This window comes from Homo sapiens, chromosome 7, assembly GCF_000001405.40.
Source record: "Homo sapiens chromosome 7, GRCh38.p14 Primary Assembly".
Classification (NCBI taxonomy): Eukaryota; Metazoa; Chordata; class Mammalia; order Primates; family Hominidae; genus Homo; species Homo sapiens.
This window is the reverse complement of record NC_000007.14, coordinates 47,886,364-47,908,057: the sequence shown is the minus strand read 5'-3', so window position 1 is coordinate 47,908,057 and position 21,694 is coordinate 47,886,364. Positions and strand designations below refer to the sequence as shown.

Below are 21,694 nucleotides of genomic sequence, written 5' to 3'. Positions count from 1 at the left end.
TCTGAGCAAGCACACTTCAACTATAAATGAAGCAGGGTATCTCCGCTTTACTTATACTGTTCAAGTTATAGCAGTTCTAAATTTGATACAACATCCTTCATTCATTCTTCCCTAATTCAGAAAATATGTCTTGCAGAATACTGTGTTCTGAGGGAACATGAAGATAAAGTCATACAAAGTCTTCATCTCAAGGAATCTATTATCTTAGTGAAAATATTAAGATATGCATAGGAGCAAGATGAGACACGACATTAAAAATGCTTAGGAAGGATATGGCTAAGGGGCTGGGAGATTTTAGGAGATAGGAACTTTATCTAACTGTGGGGACAGGGCACATCTGAGGTGGGAGCTGGCATACATAATGAGCCTTGCAGCACGGGCTGGAGGCACATTTTGGTCAGACAGCATGGCCTTGAGCTAAAACAGAATTGAGAAAGCATCCGGTGCTCACTGAGTGTGCCAGGTGCACACTGATGCATTGATGAAGGACAAAATATCCATTCCACTTTATCCACTGCTAACGCCTCACTCGTGTCACCCCACTTTATCCGCACAGCTACCTGTAAGGGAGGTATTTGCTTCATGTCAGTTTTGTAGAGGGAGGGACCGGAAGCTCAGAGGCCATTGGGGGTGGGAATGGGGAACTCCAGCCACTTACCGTAGAAAAAAGAGTCCCTACACTTTGCAACAAAGCAAATGGGAGCCAGCCAGAGGCACTCCCAAAGTGCCCAGCCTACATGGGTGGGATGATGGGGTCACATTTCCCAGAAACAGGAGAAAGGAGGATCCAATGAAGGGATGAGTCTCAGTGAACTCATCCATGTAAGAATTCTTTCCAGCTGTTCCACACAGTGGCTGTACCTGTTTATAATCAGACTAGTGAGAAACTCTCCATCCAAGAAGTTATGACATACATATGGAAGGATTTTTTTAACCTGTTTGCCTACCCTAACTAGCCGGTTGGTCATTCATATTGACTTGTCTTATCTAAACCTGAATAAATAAGCAGCACGTCTAGCCAGTGCAAGGGCACAATTCTTGTAAATTTCCGATGGTTCCATGCCAGGATTTAGAATAGGAAGGTCCAAGTTTGCATCCAGCCCTACAGATTGATAATAGGGTATTCTTGTGCAAATCTGTAAACTATATCTTTTTTTTTTAACACTTTTGATTATCAGATTGTGCTCAGAATTAATTTTCAGGCATGCTTAATGAGACCATGTGATATTTATTTATCATATATCTATTTTTAGTCATATGATATTTATTTTTCAAAAATTCTGATGCATTGATGAAGGACAGAATACCCATTCTGCTTTATCTCTGTTATAAACAAGTATTTTCTCTTTATAAAGAGAAAATTATGCAGAAGAACAGTAGTAATAATAAATAACCCTCCTTTCTTAATACCCTTTTATGATAAATGAGTTGCTCTAAATCTTCTTAGACATCACAGTACTCTTTCAGAATCTGATTCAGTGTTTGGTATCCACCTCCATATGTATGTACATACATATGTACATGCATGTGTGGTATGTCATAGGAGGGTATGTGTGATATGTGTGTACATGTGCATATGTGTATAGTGCATATGCTGTGTATGGTGTGTATATGGTATGTATGTGTGTATATGCTATATGTGTGGTATGTGTATGGTGTGTGTACATGTATATATACATATATGCACAATCTTACATTACATCTTATAGGACTTAAAAGCACAAGGCTTATTAGACCCCTATTTAAGAACTCCTGTGAAGTGAAGACTACTTAGTGTACATATTGAGAAATACTTTAAAAACAAGGCCATCTATCAAAGTAATTAACATATTTCAAAGGAATTAGCATATTTAATACCATGCAGGGAGTTCTCATTTAGAGAAAATATACAAAGAAAAATTTAATGACAGAAATTCTGTGATTAAGTTTATGTTTCCCAGGTATGTCTGATTTCAGAGCACATGCTTAGAATTTTGAAATTTATTGAGATTCAAAGGGGGAAAGTTAAAAATGAAAAATACTGACTGTGTGTTGCATGATAAAAGTGAATTAATTTTAAGACTTTTTCTCTTATCTCCTTTTTTTCTCATTTTAGGCACTGTGGTTATACATCACTTTCCATCTATTCCTTCATATAACGTGTCCTTTATTTCTCAGACTCAAGTGGGTGACAGCCAGGCTTGGCACAGCATGACTGTCTGGTATAAGATGCAATGTATGTCTTTGTTTTAATTCCAGATTTAACAAAAACCTCCCTCGCGCAGTCAGCTGAGATTAGGAAAGCCGTAGGCAGCAGCAGGTTTTGTTATCGGCTCTGCTGGAGAGCCCCATTTGTCATTGAACAGGTTCTTTGTTCATCTGCCATTTGTTCTGGGAATTTTCTGAAACCACAGGCATTAAGGCTCCCAATTGAAGGAATGGGAAGGTGGGTTATCGGGACTGTTATCTGCCAGCTCCATGTGCCACACCCTTTCTAGCAGAATCTCAAAGGGAGTTGGCCCTATGGCCTTAGGAGCACCTCCTGTGCAAGCACTTTGGGGCCTTTGAACCAGGGCCAGCACTGCCTACCGCGTGCCCACAGCTGCATCCTTGCTGCCAATCTGCATGCATATCAGAGCTTCCTCACCATCACTCAAGCCCATGACCAAGTGGGAAAGTAGAGGTACTAGTTTCTCTGGAGATTCCAGCCCTCCTATGTTGACATAGACATACCTTCCTTTCTTTTGCCACAGCCGTCTCTGTCTACACAAATGGAACTGTGTTTGCCACAGACACAGACATTACATTTACAGCTGTTACCAAGGAAACAATACCCCTGGAATTTGAGTGGTATTTTGGAGAGGATCCACCAGTGAGGACAACTTCAAGAAGCATTAAAAAAAGACTCAGCATCCCCCAATGGTCAGTAAAAGTAGCAGTCCTGCTGAGTAGCTGTTTGTACTGCAGCCTATACTCAGTCTGAAGATCACCATGCTGCTACCGAAGGCATTTTATGGCTGTTGCATTTGTATTATAATGGGCCACTAGGTCCTTCTGTGAAGCAAACTCAACATAAGATTTAAGGGAAGATTTCGTTCATTTCTCTTCAGCTTGAACTAAGGGAAACGGTGTAGGGCTTTGAAGCAGACAGTCCTAGGTTCGAATTCTATCTCGGCCACCCATGTGACCTAAGAAATTCCTCATCTAAGAAAGGGCAATGATGCTTACCCCTACTGCTTTGAGAAATGAATTAAATAATGAAGAGGGGGGTAGTCAAAAATATCAACCCCCTTCTCCTCAATAAGATGAAAATCACTAGATACTTTTGTAGTTCTTACAAATTAAATGCTGCCTCCCCCTCCCCCGCCTTCCTCTTAAAGTATAGCAGACGGTTTCTCTAGACCTGACCCTGTTCTTGTCTTGCCATCTGCCTTCCCTGCCCTCCTTTCCCCATCCTGCAGGTATCGTGTGATGGTTAAGGCTTCCAACAGGATGAGCAGTGTGGTCTCTGAGCCCCATGTCATCAGGGTGCAGAAGAAAATTGTGGCCAATCGGCTCACGTCCCCCTCCTCAGCTCTGGTAAATGCCAGTGTGGCCTTTGAGTGCTGGATCAACTTCGGCACAGATGTTGCCTACCTGTGGGACTTTGGGGATGGCACCGTCAGCCTGGGGAGCAGCTCCAGCAGCCATGTCTACAGTAGGTGAGCCACTGCAAGGCGGCGGAGTGCTCTCTACAGACAGCGCGGGAATCAGAGTCTTAAGGCATCAGCCCTTGGGTTCCACATAGAGACCTGCCTGTCAGTCAACGTAGGTGACAGATGATTACACAGAGACAAATAAGACCTGACCATGCTTCTCAAGGAGCTCCTAGTCCAGGGGAAAGACAAAGAGGAAAGAGATGCTTTCAGTACAGGGGCTGTGGCTGCAAAGGAGGCCTGTGATGTGGTGGGGATGGCTTACTGAAAGTGATATCTTGAGTAGGAGCTTGACAAAGGGAAATGGGAGAGAGGCTCCCAAACAGTGACAAGGTCCTGGGCAAAGGTGCTAAGTGAGGTGCCAACAGGAGATGTTTGGAGTGACTGGCAAGACGTATATAGAAGGGTGAGATGAGTGTAGGTTGGCAGATTGTGAAGGGCCTTGATGTCATATGGAAGAGCATGAACTCTGTCCTTTAACTCTGCATTTACTGAGTGTCCACTGTGTACCTGGGACAAAGCATCGTGGAGATATGATAAGGTGCAGACTGGCTGGATCACTCATTCCCAGCCGAGCCTCTAGGGTGAGTCCTAGGACCCAAGTGGATCTAATCCTTTCAGTAGGGAGACACACATGGTCAAGGCTGAGCCTCAGGCTGGCATCAAAACTTTATGCTGCTGTAGGGAAATGTCAAAGGGTGCAGAAGTATCTAGAAAATGAGGTTCGTGTAGGCAGTGGCATCAGGGAAAGATTGCAAACTTCCTCCAATGCAAGATTTCCATGAGAACCCACACTGCAGCCTCTCCACGCTTTGGTGGGGACTGAATGGCCCCATCACTAACTATGGATTCAGGACTTTTTCATCAGAAATAGATTTTCACATAAGGAAAGAATTGAGCAGTAGTGGCTTGTAGATTGGTGCATGCTCAATTGAGCACATGGTGGCCTAGGTACCTGGCGATATACTCGGTAGCTCCAGAAGCCCTTTTGTGCCCTGTGGAAGTGACATGGTTTATTCGGTGCCTCCACTGTCATCTCTAGAGTGTGCCCTGGGCGCTCTGACAACCTGAGAAAACCATCTAGTCTTCATTCTTATCAGTAGGCCCTACCTTTCTTGCTGGAGCTCCAGGATGGCAAGTGATATTCTGGTCCTTGCAAACTCAAATTTGTGGTCTTCTGATGGGAATATTTTTCTCTTTCAAATTCAGAAGTCTTAAGTAGTTATCCATGTTGCAACATTTGCAAAATAACCACTTATTTCCTTAGTAAAGCACTACCTGCTGGGTCAGGAGCTACCCAGCTCTCACCTCCAACTGTCCTGAATCTCTCCACAGCTGTGACATGCTCCCCTTACCCGGAGACAGGCTATGGATCTATCCTGTCCTTCCTGAGTTTGTAGGACTCTAAGAAATTGGTCAGGAAAACTGATCCATGGAGCAGGAAATAGAACAGGAAGACCATCCCCGGAGACCCCCCAGTTATGGGTTGGGGTACCCATCACACAGAGAAAATATATAGATCTGTTCTGTTATCAAAAGGGGGCCAGGTCATGGCTGTGGGGAGGGTTGCCCAAAGAAGGAAGCAACATGCCCCTCACATAGATGTATTGTTTGAATATAGCATGTGACATCGGTCTGGGAGTTTGGTACTTGGCCTGGCCCAGGCTAGCTGGGGAGCCAGTCTGTTGATTAAATGATGAAAGACCTCTGTGGAAATCAGTCTTGTGACCCTTGACTCTTCTGTTCTTATTCATGGGATGACTTGCTGTCAAATACTATAATTCTGCAGATATGAGTGGGTATGAAGAGTGAATGAAAGCCTGACGTTCATCAACATAAATTTGTTCATTTCTGTGCTTTCCACCGTCCCAGGGAAGGAGAATTTACAGTGGAGGTCCTTGCCTTCAATAATGTCAGTGCCTCCACTCTAAGACAGCAACTTTTCATCGTGTGCGAGCCCTGCCAGCCACCCCTGGTGAAGAACATGGGGCCTGGGAAAGTCCAGGTAGGCTCGGAGTCTGGGAAATCCTCCACCAGCCTCTTTTCAGCCTCCCTCTGAGTTGGGACCACTGTTTGGAGTGGTGAGAGTTTGGGGCATGAAGCGAGGCTTTGTCCAGTTTATCCTACTGCAATTTACACAAAGGAGTGCCTATAAGGGCTTCAGAGCGGGTGACCTGGGTCCTCAGGGGAGGGAGGGCTACCCCAGCCTGGACAGGAGGAGACAGTGTCATTTCTGGGGTCTGGTGTGTGAATAAGTTCTTTATTCGCCTGCATTACTCTGGCATTCAGCACAGCTCACTTTAAGGAGCTCTTTTCTTTTCTTTTTTTTCTTTTCTTTTCTTTTCTTTTCCTTTCCTTTCCTTTCTTTTTTTGGATTATGCTAAGAACTGTAGCATTTTCAGGAGAATGAAACATTTGAATATATGTAACACCAAAATGAAAGGACATGATCGGTTATCTGTTGAACACCTATTCTGGGTTAGAAAAAATAGGGTTGGTTTTTATTTCTTTCATTCCTTTGAGGCCTGTGATTCAGAGCAAATTTTCCTTTTCAGGGCAGAGGTGCTCAAATGACACATGGGAATTAAAATCCGTGACTAAGCTGCATTTGCTAAACTGCTTTCTGTGGCATCTGACCCCAAGAGGTCAGCCCGCAGAGGGTGCTGGTGGAGATCAGCATGCAGAGACCAAGTGCCCGGGGCAATCCGGAAAGGGTCCCGGCCCCCACACAGGCAATACCCCTGCCCACCTTTAGACCAGCGAGCACCCACGCTGTTGGGCAGGTCTGCGTGCTGGGGGAACGCGTTCTCTGGGTGTGAGATTTGGACCCAAATAGCAAAGGGACTAAAGCAAAAGGCACAGCAGGAAAAAGCACAGACCCTAGGCAGGAGGACTCTGGCTCCCGTCCTGACTCTGCTGTTAGGACATGGGACAGAGTGGTTTTCTTGAGTTTTTTATCTGTAAAACATTGTTATTTTTATTTTCTTATCTGTAAAACACAGAAAATAAGATTGATAATTTCATTTTTTCTTTTCTTTTTTTTTTTTTTTTTTTTTGAGACTCTGTTGCCCAGGCTGGAGTGCAGTGGCATGATCTTGGCTCACTATAACCTCTGCCTCCTGGCTTTAAGCGATTCTCCTGCCTCAGCCTCCCAAGTAGCAGGGATTACAGGTGTGCACCACCATGCGTAGCTAATTTTTTTAGTAGAAATGGGGTTTTGCCATATTGGCCAGGCTAGCTGGTCTTTAACTCCTGGCCTCAATTGATCCACCTGCCTTGGCCTCCCAGAGTTCTGGGATTATGGACCTGAAGGACCCTGCCCGGTCATTTTTTCTTTATTTTACGTGTTTTCTAAAAGTATAAAGAAAAAAATGAAATCATCTCAAATCCAGGCAGTAGGTGATAGCCACTTTTGTCTAATTATTTATTTTCAGTATTTTTCTAAGGCTTTTTATATGTGGTATGTGTGTTTGTCACAAACCTGGGTTGCAGTGTGAGCATTTTCTTTTGTTATTAAGCAGCCTTTTGATTACATAATTTTAATGATGTCTTACTGTTAAATCATACATAAAGATTATACATCACTATATAATGTCCTCTGATTGAACAACTGTTGTTGCCAGTTTTCTTTTTATTTATTTATTTATTTATTTTTGAGACTGAGTTTCACTCTTGTTGCCCAGGCTGAAGTGCAATGGCATGATCTCGGCTCACTGCAGTCTCCACCCCCTGGGTTCAAGCTATTCTTCTGCCTCAGCCTCCCAAGTAGCTGGGATTACAGGCGCTCACCACCACACCCAGCTAATTTTGTATTTTTAGTAGAGATGGGGTTTCACCATGTTGGTCAGGCTGGTCTTGAACTCCTGACCTCAGGTGATCTGCCCACCTTGGCCTCCCAATGTGCGATGAGCCACCATGCCTGGCCAAGTTTCCGGTTTTCTATCACTACAAATAACTTGGCAATTACACTGTCTGTACATTGTTCTGCAAGTGTATGGCCTTTTCACAGGAATAATTACTACAAGTTATAGAACTGAAGAACACAATGCCTTTCCCAGAATCTTGACAAGCCTAGAGATGTTTTTGTAGCAGCTCACATGTGTCCGCTCTGAGGGACCAACTCTCACTCTCACTAGGCATTTCATATTTTTTAATGTTTATTATCATGAATGAGCTAAAAATTGGCATCCTAGTATTAAAATTTGCTGTAACCCATATAAATCTGGGCAGTTTTGTGACAAATCTTAGAATGATATCATATTCAGAATAGAAACAATAAAAAGTAATTGGAAAGTAATTTTAATTATAACTAAAGTCACCTAAAGAATGTCAAAAGTAAACTTTCATTTATAATGAGCACCAAGATTTCTTAAAATCCCATTTCTCAGCTGCCTCCAGGTTTTTCCCTTTCCGATTTTTTTTTTTTTTGGGATGGAGTCTCGCTCTGTTGCCTAGGAGGGAGTGCAGTGGTGCAATCTGGGCTCACTGCAAGCTCCGCCTCCCGGGTTCACACCATTCTCCTGCCTCAGCCTCCAGAGTAGCTGGGACTACAGGCGTCCGCCACCACACCTGGCTAATTTTTTGTATTTTTAGTAAAAACAGGGTTTCACCGTGTTAGCCAGGATGGTCTTGATCTCCTGACCTCGTGATCCGCCCACCTTGGCCTCCCAAAGTGCTGGGATTACAGGCTTGCGTCACCGTGCCTGGCCTTCCCTTTCCAATTTTTAGGGAACCTTCAGGAAAAAAAAAATCCCTCTGGGGGAGACCCTGCACCCAGCATCTGCAGGGTGGAGGCGCTCTGGCCAGGCAGAGACTCTATCCTGAGGCCCCCTAGCCTGGCTTGCTCCTCCATGCTTGAGGTGGCATCTGGCTCCAGCCCAAAGTAGGGGGTGTGGAGGGGCTTCAGAAAGACAGAGTGGCTGGGAGGAGTAAGGGGTGTGGATGGGTAGACACTAATATTCCCCCCCATATCCTCATCCTCATTGGCTTATTAAAGTGAGCAAATATGCTTTTTGTATATGTATCAGCTACTATTAACATTTAAAATTCTTTGTTATGGAAATTTTAAAGCATAAATAACAGTAGAAAGAATAGTGCAACAAACCCATCACTTTAAAAGACTACCAGGGTCATACCAGAAGGTTGCCAGAGCCAGGCCAAGGAGAGTGCCCCAGGCCCCTGATGGGCTACTTGGAGCATCTAAAAAGTAACATCTACAATTGAATGAATAATGCTAATATTTTAAAAATAATTATGCTGAAAGAGAAAGAGAAGCTTCTGCTGTTCCCACCAAGCAGGCAGACACAAGTAACATATTGGTCACCTTTGGAAGTAACTAGTGCCCCAGCTTCTTACTCTGAATGTTGGTAATTAAGGGAAAGAATTAAGCATTTATTCTTATTTTCCTGACCAAACTATAGTTTAGGAAACCTCATAGTTCTAGTTGATAAGAAAATTTTTTTCTCCTCTCTCCTTTTTTTTTTTTAGCAAAAGAACTTTTGTGCATCTCAAATCAAACAATTGCACAAGGGTATGTTTTGGAGACAATAAGGGAAATTTTATTATAAACTAGGTTTAAATTATACTAAGAACTTATTGTTAATTTTTAAGGTGAGATAGTAGTGTTGTGTTGATGTAGGAAAATTCCCTTAGTTTTTAGAGATGTATATTTAGTATTTAGGGATTAAATGTCATGATTTCTGAGAATGACTTAAGAATATTTCAGTGAAGAAAAAAATAGGGAAAGCAAACATCTGTTGTGTATACTGCAAATGATTTTCTTATTATATTCATTGATTTAAAAAATTTATATATACACATAGGTGCCAAAACCCAGAAGCATAACATTTATATTTTTGACGTTTGGAAGCTTAAATTTTTTATGTAATCAAATATCAGATATCTTTGCTATTTTTCCATTAATTTTATGCATAGGAAGTTTTTTCTCATGAGTATATAAATATTTACTTATTATTTTAGTTGGTTTTTTTTTAACCTTTTATTTTTGTCTATAAAATAGATGTAGTGTTTATTCTGGTGTTGTCTAAAGCCCAGACCTAAGAATACCATTCTGTCACTATGCAAACAAATAATGGGAGATCTACAGTTAAGACTAAGTTTCTAGTAATTTACCAGTACATTAGATGTGATGGACATTTTAATGAGACATCTTCTCTTCTTGATACTTAGATATGGAGGTCTCAGCCTGTGAGGCTGGGAGTGACGTTTGAAGCTGCAGTCTTCTGTGATATTTCCCAAGGTCTTTCTTACACCTGGAACTTGATGGACTCTGAAGGGCTCCCTGTCTCCCTCCCTGCTGCTGTGGACACTCACAGACAGACCCTCATCCTCCCGAGCCACACCTTGGAGTATGGGAACTACACTGCCCTTGCCAAGGTCAGCTGGCTGACTTACTGCTCTACTGGCCCAATGAAACCCATGCTTCTCATCGCCCTGGAGCAAGAGCTCAGCATTTGGAATTCAACACCTGTTCGATCCAGGAAAAGGGAGGTTGTTTAAAAAAAAAAAAATCTGCATTGGATTTTAAGAGAAATGTTTAATTCCCCCAAAGAGAACAAATTATGTTCAAATGCAGTCAAAGCAATTGATGAAAAGCTCCTTCCAATGTGTATAACAAAACCTTCCTGTGTACCTAATTTGAATAAGCCCTGTGCTGGTGCCGGGATGTCAGGAGAATGTGTGGCCCTGCCATTTAGGGGCCAATCACCCAGAAAGGAAAGGAGACGACAGTCAGAGGGCAGGGCATCCAAGAGGCACTCACGGTGACTGCCTGGCACTTTGATTCTCAGCATGTGCTTGGTGCATTTTGGCTGGAAAAAGTGGTGAAAATATGCGAGTTAAAAGAGGGAGAGGTCATTTTTAAAAGAGTAGGCTTCAAGAAACAGGGTGCTGAAAAGAGAATCTGTCCACAGACATAGAAAGGGATTGGGAGGGGCAACAGCTTGGCAAAGGCTAGAAGAAGACCAGGGATAATGAGCAGAACCTGGTGGGAGATTCTGGGAACAAATTGCACAGTGGGCAGGCCAGGCTGCGGGAACCTGATCAGGGACCCTCAGAATATCTGCAGCGAAGGAGCTTTGTTCTTTTAAGCTGTGGGGCACGCAGTCCTATTGAGCACAGTTCCATCTGGTGCCTTGTGTGGCTTGCCACAAAGCTCCTCGGCACCCAAACTGCCCTGACCTTGCCTGAGGAAGCAAATCCTCCCAATCTGTGCTGGGATGTCACAGCGATGGCAAATGCTGGAGTTGCCAGAAGCTTCCTCTCAGTGTCTGTACTTATCTCATCGCGAAATAGGCAGGTAACGATGGGCCAAGTGACAACAGGCTGCAGACCAGGCTTAGCATAGCATTACTTCAGATGCAGGTTGTAGGAAAAAGCAGAGCTTTCCCAGCAGGCTGTATACTCTTCTTTAGAAATGTTGATTGGGAACGAGTAGGAAACAGACTGAAGGATGGGATGTTGGGAGAGTGTTAGTGAAGGTGAGAAGTCATTAGAGGCTGAAGCAGGGGGCAGCTGGGGAATAGAGAGCAGAGCAGGGTCAATGTCAGGGGACCTCGGGGTGGTGGGGAGCATCTGACCTGATGGGTGGCTAATTGTAAGAAGCCAAGGGGAAATGCAAAGGAAAATCTGTAATACTGAACGAGTGGAGGAGGGTGAGGCTGCTCTTCATTTTCCTAATGAAAACAGCACTATTTGTACCTGGCTGTGTGCTGGGGGGAGGGATTTGGAGATAAATAAGGTCTTTGCACACTTGTGTGAACAACCTAGTAGGGGAGGTAGATAGAGCCTGTAAACTAAAAATAAAATCCTAAGTCCCCCCCAAACAACTAAACAAATCCCCTCTTGGCCAAGGGGACCCAGAAAATACTTAAAAAATGGAGTTCCTGGCCATAATGGGACTCAAGGTCAGATATGCCTCATTACGCCCCCTCCCTTTCACAGTTTAGACACAACAACTGACCAACATTAATGTTAAAATAGTGATTATAAGACTGACAGAACGGACTCCTTTTTTTTTTTTTTTTTTTTTTTTTGAGACAGGGTCTCACTCTGTTGCCCAGGCTGGAGTGCAGTGGCTGCAATCTCGGCTCACTGCAACCTCTCCCTCCTGGGCTCAAGTGATCCTTCTGCCTCAGCCTCCTGAGTAGCTGGGACTACATGTGCATACCACCATGCCTGGCTAATTTTTTGTAGAGACAGGGTTTCACCCTGTTGCACAGGCTGCTCTCGAACTCCTGGGCTCAAGCAATTTGCCTGCCTCAGCCTCCCAAAGTGCTGGGATTATAGGCGTGAGCCATCACGCCTGGCCAGGACATACTCTTTATGACAATAAGATACCAAATTATAAACAAGACCTAAGGCCAGGCAAGAGTGAAATCACACAGTCCTACAATTAAAAAATAAGCTGTTCTCATTGCCACAGGATTTTTCTCCCCTTTTCTCTATCAACTAAACAAACACTAGCCTTAAAATAAACAGTATTAAAACAATTACAACTCTACAACCACCAAACATCAACTAATTAACCCCCCATTCCTCAAGCCTTAACTATGACTTTAATTAAACAAAAAACTAATTTCTATAAATTTTTCCTAATAAAAAACACCAACCGTAAACTAATTCTGCCCAGTTTGACTACGCATTTAAGTGCCTTCATGTCCCTACTTTACCTTTTAACATAAAAGACCTAATTATAATACATTGCAATATTGTCTCCACCCAAAAGTAAACATAAAGCACATATATATGTTTACTTATTACACAAAAACACAATCCTCTTCCATAGATATCCATAACTCCTATATCCTGTGAATATGTGATAATGCATTCAACTGAAATTCCTCTTACCCCTCCCTCCCTCCTCCAAATACTTACTTTCAATTTCTTAGCCAGAGACTACACTTCCTGCTTACAGATTATAATCCCTTTCTTAAAAAATAAAACTCTGCTTTCTAAATATATAAACTACGTAATTTTTAAATTAAACCCAGCAAGCCATAGAAGATGTGTCCAGCCTATGGGACAGGCCAGGTAATGGGAGCTCCGAAGGAGGTTTGGCTATGAGCTGGGAGCCACTTCTGTAGTCTTCAGTGTCTTCACAGGGGGTCTGTGTCTTTCTCTAGGTCTTGGAGACCTTCTGACAGATAAGGTAACTTCTGCTGTCTCTGACCTCACAGTCAGAGCCTCAGGTTTCCTTTGCTCCTGAACAGCCCTGCATCTTCCCCAAGCAGCTTCCTGCTTGGTGCCTCCTCCAGCCTTTGTATATACTTGGAATATTCTCAGCAGCTCCTTGGAGCTGGAGAGGCTGAGCAAACAGAGGTTGAAGGTGGAAATGAGAGTTCTAATCCTACAGCTGTTCCGTTGTCTTTGGTCCTACTCAGGAGACTGATCAGCAGGGAACTGTGTGCATCTGAAGAAAATCTAGAGTGATCAAGGCTGAGACCCAGTGAAAGAATAGCAAGTATTAGACTGTATTTTTTCAAATTGCGTCAGTTTTTTTTTTTTTTTGACAGGGTCTCACTCTGTTGCCCAGGCTGGAGTGTAGTGGTGTGATCTCAGCTCACTGCAACCTCCCCCTCTGGGCTACTGGGTTCAAGCGATTCTTGTGCCTCTGCCTCCCATGTAGCTGGGATTACAGGCACATGCCACCACGCTCAGCTAATTTTTGTATTTTTAGTAGAGATGAGGTTTCACCGTGTTGCCCAGGCTGGTCTCAAACTCCTGAGTGCAAGCAGTCCACCCACCTCAGCCTCCCAAAGTGCTGGGATTACAGGCATGAACCACCGCGCCTGGCCGCATCAAACTTGTAAAAGAACAATATGAATGTTTTATTTATAACATGTTCTGCTATTCCTGGGTTTAAAAGTATTTGTCTTAAATTTCATTTACATTTCCTAAAGTCCATGATATGTTTGGGGGTTAGAAAGAAGCAGCTCTAAGATAGGTGAAGGAAGTTGCACAAAAGCCAGGAGCCTGAACAATTCACTGTGGAGGGAGGAGGTTTGAAAACTATAAAATGTGCACACATGGAAAGTCTCTATTGTGTTCACAAGCTAGGAAATGCCCAAATTTGTACATTAACACAAGCTTGGATAGGAAGATGTCCATGGTCTCGTGGACTCCAGTCACAGCTCTCATGTCGTACAGTAGAGTGGTTATTTTGACTACCAAGACTGTTTTAGTTGGAGCCAGGGATGCGTTGAGACTCGTCGGCTTCCTTTCTAATTTTCAGACTAGTGTGTTTCTCCAGTGAGTCCCTGCCTTGTCCCTGCATGACATCCCCTGTCCTTCCTTGCCCCTGCAGGTTCAGATTGAAGGCAGTGTGGTGTACAGCAACTACTGTGTGGGCCTGGAGGTGCGAGCCCAGGCCCCTGTCAGTGTGATCTCCGAGGGCACACACCTATTCTTCTCCAGGACCACCTCATCCCCCATTGTCCTCAGAGGGACCCAGTCCTTCGACCCTGACGACCCTGGGGCGACTCTCAGGTGAGCACCACCCCCACACAGAGCTGCGCAGCTACTCAGACCGCGCATTCTGCAAATGCAGGCTCTGGAACGTTGGAGGCTATTAATAGTTTTAAATTTTAAGCACATCAACTTTCGTTAAGTTTAACTGCTTTATTTAGGAACAAAATATAAGGGAATTGAGGAAAAGAGTGGAAGTAAAATGTGAGTCGCTTTTTAAGGTGGTGTTTAAAGAGTGATCTGTTTTGGAACATGAGGCTTGAGTGTCACCATTGTTAAATTCTTGGTTAGTGAGATGCCGTGGTGTGTGGAAGGCTTGGTTTCCACGGGTTGCTCATCTCCAGGTAGATGGGTCTCTTGTTGCTGGAGGCTGCCCCCAGTTCAGCCCTTGGTCCTCTTCTCCATCCACACCGCTTCCCGCCTGTGGGCTCAGCCAGGGTCCTGATGTGGATCCATCCATGATCCATGTGCAACAGCCTCAGACAGGAATTCTCTGTTTAGACCATTCTCCGGACTCTGGGCTGTGAGTCCCGGCGTCCCTACAGCGCCCCCTCTGGACACCCTCGAGACATCTCAGCCACACACCTGCCTTCTGTACCCGTGGAAGGACCTTTCCAGTTGCTCAGGCCAAAATCTTCTTTCTCTTTTTTTTTTTTTTTTTTTTTTTTTGAGATAGGGTCTCACTCTGTCACCCAGACTGGAGTGCAGTGGCTCGATCTCAGCTCACTGCAAACTCCGCCTCCCGGATTCAAGCAATTCTTCTGCCTCAGCCTCCTGAGTAGCTGAGACTACAGATGCGCGCCACCATGCCTGGCTATTTTTTGTATTTTTAGTAGAGATGGGTTTCACCATGTTGGCCAGGCTAGTTTTAAACTCCTGACCTGAAGTGATCTGCCTGCCTTGGCGTCCCAAAGTGCTGGGATTTCAGGCGTGAGCCATCAGGCCCAGCCACAGGCCAAAATCTTTACCAGCATCTTTTACTTTTTCTTTTTCTTCCTTTCTTTTTTTTTGGCCCTCCCTTAAACATCAGTTCCACACCACCTCCCCTACCCCCGGTACATTGTGGTTTGAGCTGCCAGGGTCTTGGGCTCATCTCCGTAAGATCTCCTGGCCAGTCTCCACACCTCCATCCTCCCCTGCAGCCCTGTCTCCAAGGCAGGGATAGGTTCTTTTACTAGTATTATTGGTTTTTATTCTTTTTGATTTAGGGGATATGAGTGCAGTTTTGTTACATGGATATATTAGTGGTGTTAAAGTCTGGACTGTTAATGTAACCATTCCCTGAATGCTGTACATTGTACCCATTAGGTAATTTCTCATCCCTCACCCACCTCCCAACCTCCCTCCTTTTGGAGACAGATTCTTTTAAAACAGTCAGAAGACTTTACTTCACAGTTTGACCCTCCAGCACCCCCTTTTTACTCAAGAGTAAAAGCCAACGTCCTCACAGTGCCAGTGAGGATGATGTGACCTCTCCCAACCCATTGCAGCTTCAGCTGTCCCTTCCTGCCTCCACAGCTCACTGTGCAGCCCGTTTGGCCTTCCTGCCCCTCCTTGGACTTACCCAGCTTGCATCTCTCTCAGCTCTTTACAGCAAGGGTTCCTTCTGCAGCTCATCACTCAGTTCACCAAACATCTGCCATCACCGCCTTCACTCATTGCTCAAATATCACCTTCCCAGTGGGGCCCCCACTGAGACTCCAAAATGACAGATCCTACCCTGATTTGATGGCATCTTTCTTCACAGTAGTCACCCTTGACATCGAGCCTTTGCTCACTTACTATGGTCACTGCTCTGGAGGGCAGGGCTCTTATTTGATATATCCCCCATGCCTGGAATGTAGTAGCTAGTCAGGGAATATTTATTTATAAAGCAATAGATGAGTTGCGTTGTTTTCCCAACCCCTGTGATCACACATATTTGCTGTATTCCAGGTGTGGAATTTGCTGTTTCTTGAGTTGAGAGGAGGCAAAAGGCTGCTTGGACTCCCCAATTTGATTCATGCACATGCTCTGGGAAAGCCCTTAGCCATCTGCAGACTTCCCTGCACCCAACCTAAGGAGACAGAGGCTGTGTCTTACTCATCTTCACATCCGCATGCCCTAGCACCTGCACAGTGCCCAAAAACAAGAGCTCCATGTGTGGCTGCTGAAATGAGCTGAATTTGTTCCCTGGGAGTATAGAATATTCCAGCTAAACCCCAGGGGCAGTTGCTCTGCACAGCCTGTGAGCTGGAGGCAGTGCTCCTGCTGAGCAGGGTAGTTCCTGAGCCATCACAGTACCTCTTTATGCAGGCTCTGGAAACAGAAAGGTCTAGAATGAGGTGCCTGCACACCAGACAGAGAAATGCTCTTTAAAAGATCAATATCAGTTCACATTTAGGTGACACCTTTGAAAAGGGCTTATGGCTGCGGGATGGGGCCAGGCCTTCCTAGCCACAAACATTTCCATAGCAGCATTTCCTCCCTGCTGGAACTATATGTTTGAGTGTGCATCCCTGCTAGAGCAAGACTGGCTCAAGGTTGGGGAAGACATCTTCCTGCTTGACCTGGACGGAGCAGCCATGTTTATCTTGTTGGGTGTGGCAATTGTTATATTGCAGAAAGACTGTGAGACTGGGAGGAGAGATGCCTGAAGTCCATCTCACAGACCCCTCACTAGCTGTGCTACAGGGAAACACTCTGAGGCCTCCCAAATACATTTTCTTCCTAAAACTGGGCTCACATAGCATTCTTGTCTGTCACATGGAGCTGTCATGATGATGGGGTGCAGTGTTTGGGACATACTTGAGGGCAGCACAGCTGTGTGACTTGGGAAGTGGCAGTCATGTGAGCAGAGGAGGTCGCTGTGCGCAGAGAAGGGTTAGGAAGCCTGGTGGGGCTGGAAACAAGGCTGTCTGGAGTCAGGCCTCAGTGAGTCGGGAGGGGTGGCCTGAGCCCACCCCAGGTGGTGGTGCTGCTGCACTTTTGCAACCTCCCACTTCAGTTACAGGAGAAAATGTGGGAAGCAATATCTCTTCCCAGCACGTGTCCCCTGTGGTCCCCCTCACCTGGGGAAAACCCGTGCAGTGACACAGGGTAGTCCCTGACTCTGCCTGATGCTCCCCTCAGCCACTCCGATGACTTCTCCAACAGGTATCACTGGGAATGCGCCACCGCTGGCTCCCCAGCACATCCCTGCTTCGACTCCTCCACTGCACACCAACTGGATGCCGCGGCTCCCACTGTTTCCTTTGAGGCACAATGGCTCAGTGACAGCTATGATCAGTTCCTTGTGATGCTGAGGGTCTCCAGTGGTGGCCGGAACTCTTCTGAGACCCGGGTGTTCCTGTCCCCCTACCCTGACTCGGCGTTCAGGTACCTGACCCTGTATTCAGCACAGCTCAGCTCACCGGTGTTTGTTCCCACCTGGTGCTAGCATCCGTGAAAGGAATCTGCTGTGCACAGCAAGCAGTTTGGAGTTTGGCCATGCAGGATTCTCACTGCAAAGGAGGAGGAGAAGACTGTTCAGAAAGCGGCTGGGGAAGCAGTCCCCGCTCTCGGGCTGATGTCTGGGCAGCATCTGACAGCCAAGCACACTAGCTAAAGCTGGCACAGCCGGGGGTTCCAAGTGGAACCTCATCGGGAACCCTCCCATCACAGCACCTGCCTGAAAGATCGGGGACTCTCCTGGGGCTTGGGACTGAAGCCAGGAGGCAAAGCCATCAAGTTCCCAGCCAGGGGTTTCAGGGCCATTGCCCAGGCCTTCCAAGCATCACAGGATGGAGGGGACAGCAGTGTGGGCCCAGTTGTGAGGTCTGAGACTATGAAAGATGCAGAGGCAAAGAAGTGATGTGCCCCAAACCCAGAACCCCTGTAGCGCTGAGGCCAGAACAGCGCCAGTGGGTGTAGTGCAGCCCCCGGACACCAAACACAGGATACCAGGACCGAGCCAAGTGCAGGAAGGGTGTGAGTTGCAGCTGTTTCCCAGCCTCCTCCTCTAAGGGGGTTGGGTCATTATGTAAGTGAGCATCGGGATGGAGCAGGAGCCCAGGCCCACCTGCTTTGGACACTCTCCCATCGGGGCTGCAAGCTGGCACCCACCCAGGAAGCAGTGCTGGGACTGACCCTCTGCCCATAGCCCTATATGTCACCTGGAAGGCCCTGGGCAGATCGAACTGCTTCCATCATGGATGGTAGGGGCAAGGGGGCTGGGCAGTTACTATGGTCCTGTTTGTGGGCTGGGTGGTTTGGGAAGGCTTCCTGGAGGAGGAAGCAAATCTGCTGTCCTCAGAGATCAGAAAGACTGCTTTGAAGGTCATTCCCTGGACTGGAATTCAGGGTTTCAAGATTAGAGCCATGAAAATAAGGCTGAGTGGATAAGAGTGGGCCATGCCATGGTGAGCCCCAAGGTCATACAGCACTGCCCAGGGAGCCCCACAGGCCCCGACTACTGACTGTTATTTGAGGCTCTGGATATGTACTAAAAGTGAAGAAATGCCAGGTACAAGGCTACAACAATTGGGGCACAATTTAAATCATTAATCATTAAATTTAACAAACTAAATACTTCTATTCCAAAAATATAATGTACTATATACCTCTGCTACTCATGAGATAATTACAGAATTTATTTTAAAATAGTCTTTCAATATGTGCCAAAGCTATCAGGTGAACATCTTTTGATCCTGTCAGGAAGGTCCAGGCCTATGTGGATGATGTCCCCAGGAGGTCTGGGGCTGGAGGGACCTCTCTTTGCCCATGTCCGTCTGCACCCCCATCACCCCACTGTGCACCCACACAGATGCACCCTTTCACACACACACACAGCCTGGGCCCAGTGCCAGGCGAGGACGCTGTGTGGCCTCTCCCACCATGGCTCCTCAGCCCTGTGCTGGGAGTCGAGTGCTTAGGCCTTGGTCTGAGACGTGGGCCGTCAGGTGCAGAGTATAGGATGTTTGCATGGGAGACACCAGGTACCACACACACCCCAGAGTATCTACCGACCTGGCCTTTTAAACCCTCCCTAAGTCCCACAGGAAATAAATCTGTTAAATCCCAAACCACCCCCGAGATATTATGAAAAACCATAAAAGTGCACTCTGGAAAGTGCTGGGTCAGCAAAGAGACTAGAGGGCTTGACAGAAGGCAGCCATGGAATGCAGGCCCAAGGGAGGTGGGCGCCGGGCTGTGGGCATGGGATGTGTGAACTGCCCATGACCCACAACCCTGCACAGGGAAGAGGCGGGGCCGAGGCAGTGGAGACATCTTTCTTTGTGAGCATCTGAGGCTGTGTGGGAATCACAAAGGTGGACGGCCACGGGGAAAGTTTGGGAGGGGATGGGTTTGCAGCTGGTAGAAGCAAGCCCTGAGGCAAGGCAGCGAAGAGGGATCACGTGGTGGCAACTGCTCTAGTGTGGAGAGCTGGGCCAGAGCCCAGGCTTGGAAACAGAGGGACCTTGACCAGGCCCAGCTCTGCCCTCACCGCTGTGTGACTCGGAAAAGCTACACAGCCTCTCTGAACTCTGTAGGGTGGCAGTGTCCTTGCCTCACTGGATCTCACAGTGTTAGAGCAGATCACGTGAGTGTCGAGCTTGGCACAGTGTTGGCCACTCCATATGTGCCATCATATGTGCTGTGACATTGCTATTGAAGTCCCTTAATAAAGATCCAAAGTAGGGTGATTTAAACATGCCTAACATGAATTAATGTGACCAAAGAACCCTCACATTATTTTCCTAAGATCTCAAGCCAATTTATATATTTCAGATTCGTCCACATCTCCTGGGTCAGCTTTAAAGACACCTTCGTCAACTGGAATGACGAACTCTCTCTTCAAGCTATGTGTGAGGACTGCAGTGAAATACCGAATCTGTCTTATTCCTGGGATCTCTTTTTAGTCAATGCAACAGAAAAGAATAGGATAGAAGGTAAAAAGGATTAATAGCTTTATTTTGTTTTCTGAGGGAAAAACTCAGGGTTATTGTGAGATTGCTAAAATGTTGCAAAATACATTTGGTATGACCCAGTGTGTCTGATCTGCCTGGTGAACGGTCCGTCGTGCTTCCCCAGCCCCTCTTGCCTCTACAGTCCGTGTGAACACTTGTGAGGCACCAGCAGAAGAGGTGACACACTCAAGGGCTGCTTCTGACCTCAGTGTGATATGGAAGGCTGCGCCCAACACCTGTGTAGGCAGTTTTATTGAGCTAAAGCCACAGTTCAGAAGGACCTGCGATGTGACACACTGCCCAGAGGGCTGTGTCCGTCACCACCTCGCCTGTCTTTTGGGCCAGCTGCACAGTGAGGAATGAGCAGAGGAACCAGGGCGGAAGGTTCCAATCCTTGCTCCCACACTACCAGCTGGTGGCTTTAAGCAATTCTAAGATTTAATTTTCTTTGGTGAAAGATGAGGATCCTACTATTTCACAGAGTGGTATCAGGGCTAAGTAAAATGTGTTGCAGCGTGCTGGGCACTGGTGTCAGGACACTGGGTGCTGCAGGACACGAAGGTTTGAACCAGGAGCGAGACTGATTTCTCACGTGGCACTATTTGTGATCAGAGAGGTGGCTCTGAATGGCAAACAGAGGAGCTTTATTTCTGAGCTGGAGAGCCAGCTCCTACAACAGAGCTGGTGCCAAGCCCCCGCTGACCTTCACATTTCTTGAAGATCCCCTCCATGAGGCCATTCAAAGCTTCCACAAGTAGAGCTTTGGGTACAGCTGGCCTCAGCGGCCACAGATACATGAAGACATAGAGGGTGATTGTGCCCTTCTTGGCAAGAGAGGCATTCCAAATTCTTTTAGGTAAATTTAACTTTTCTGAATCAGAGCCCATGCTGAATAGATTAGAGGAACTTGCAGTGGAAACACATACAGTGGTTAGACTTTCAGCAAAGTAAATCATGGCCCCTAGATATGTCTCAAAGAATTGGGCTCTCCCATGGTTGCAAGTAAAAGCTTGCTTTATTGAGAGGCCATTTATATGCTCATGGTATTTTTTTCTTTGCTATTCATCCTTTATCATAAATTCTAACAGCAGTTTTGAAAACTGTTATACTAGATACTTGCTGTATTATTCCCTTCTTGCACTGCTATAAAGGAATACCTGAGGCTGGGTAATTTATAAAGAAAAGTGGTTTATTTTGGCTTATGGTTCTGCAGACTGTACAGGAAGCATGGTGCTAGCATCTGCTCTGATGAGGCCTCAGGAAACTTTTACTCATGGTGGAGGGCAAAAGGGAGCTGACATATTACATGGTGAGAGAAGGAGTGAGGCGGCAGGGCAGTTGCCACGCTCCTTTAAATAACCAGACTTCCCACGAACTCAGAGCAAGAACTCACTCATTACAGCGAGGAGGGCACTAAGTCATTGGTGAGGGATCCACCCCCATGATCTAAACACCTCCCACCAGGCTCCCCCTCCAACACTGGGGATTATATTTCAACATGAGACTTAGAGGGGCAAAACATCCAAACCATATCACTTACTGGCGGGTAGGGGAGTGAGGATTAAGAGAAACCCCATACATCCCAAGTTTTTTCTAGAATACCCATGA

The 21,694-nt window shown here is 46.0% G+C and overlaps 1 protein-coding gene across 2 annotated transcripts in view, besides 3 other annotated features; it reads left to right on the top strand.

The window, feature by feature from the left end:
• The window catches only part of PKD1L1 (polycystin 1 like 1, transient receptor potential channel interacting), a 186,293-nt gene that overhangs the window by 52,849 nt on the left and 111,750 nt on the right, over positions 1–21,694 (top strand). For both annotated transcript variants that reach the window (XM_017011798.3, NM_138295.5), the window contains 8 exons: positions 2,096–2,215; positions 2,733–2,901; positions 3,441–3,680; positions 5,547–5,679; positions 9,864–10,070; positions 13,999–14,180; positions 17,295–17,516; positions 19,908–20,068. In XM_017011798.3, coding sequence (XP_016867287.1) covers positions 2,096–2,215; positions 2,733–2,901; positions 3,441–3,680; positions 5,547–5,679; positions 9,864–10,070; positions 13,999–14,180; positions 17,295–17,516; positions 19,908–20,068 — 1,434 coding nt within the window. The remainder of the gene's footprint in view (positions 1–2,095; positions 2,216–2,732; positions 2,902–3,440; positions 3,681–5,546; positions 5,680–9,863; positions 10,071–13,998; positions 14,181–17,294; positions 17,517–19,907; positions 20,069–21,694) is intronic.
• Positions 10,315–10,835: an enhancer, noted in NCBI's record as "H3K4me1 hESC enhancer chr7:47936820-47937340 (GRCh37/hg19 assembly coordinates)". NCBI's record gives its function as "activates a minimal SCP1, AML or CMV promoter by ChIP-STARR-seq in naive H9 embryonic stem cells {active_cell/tissue: H9 hESC(naive)}" and the evidence as "EXISTENCE:reporter gene assay evidence [ECO:0000049][PMID:30033119]".
• Positions 10,836–11,357: an enhancer, noted in NCBI's record as "NANOG-H3K4me1 hESC enhancer chr7:47936298-47936819 (GRCh37/hg19 assembly coordinates)". NCBI's record gives its function as "activates a minimal SCP1, AML or CMV promoter by ChIP-STARR-seq in naive H9 embryonic stem cells {active_cell/tissue: H9 hESC(naive)}" and the evidence as "EXISTENCE:reporter gene assay evidence [ECO:0000049][PMID:30033119]".
• Positions 18,766–19,366: an enhancer, noted in NCBI's record as "H3K4me1 hESC enhancer chr7:47928290-47928890 (GRCh37/hg19 assembly coordinates)". NCBI's record gives its function as "activates a minimal SCP1, AML or CMV promoter by ChIP-STARR-seq in naive H9 embryonic stem cells {active_cell/tissue: H9 hESC(naive)}" and the evidence as "EXISTENCE:reporter gene assay evidence [ECO:0000049][PMID:30033119]".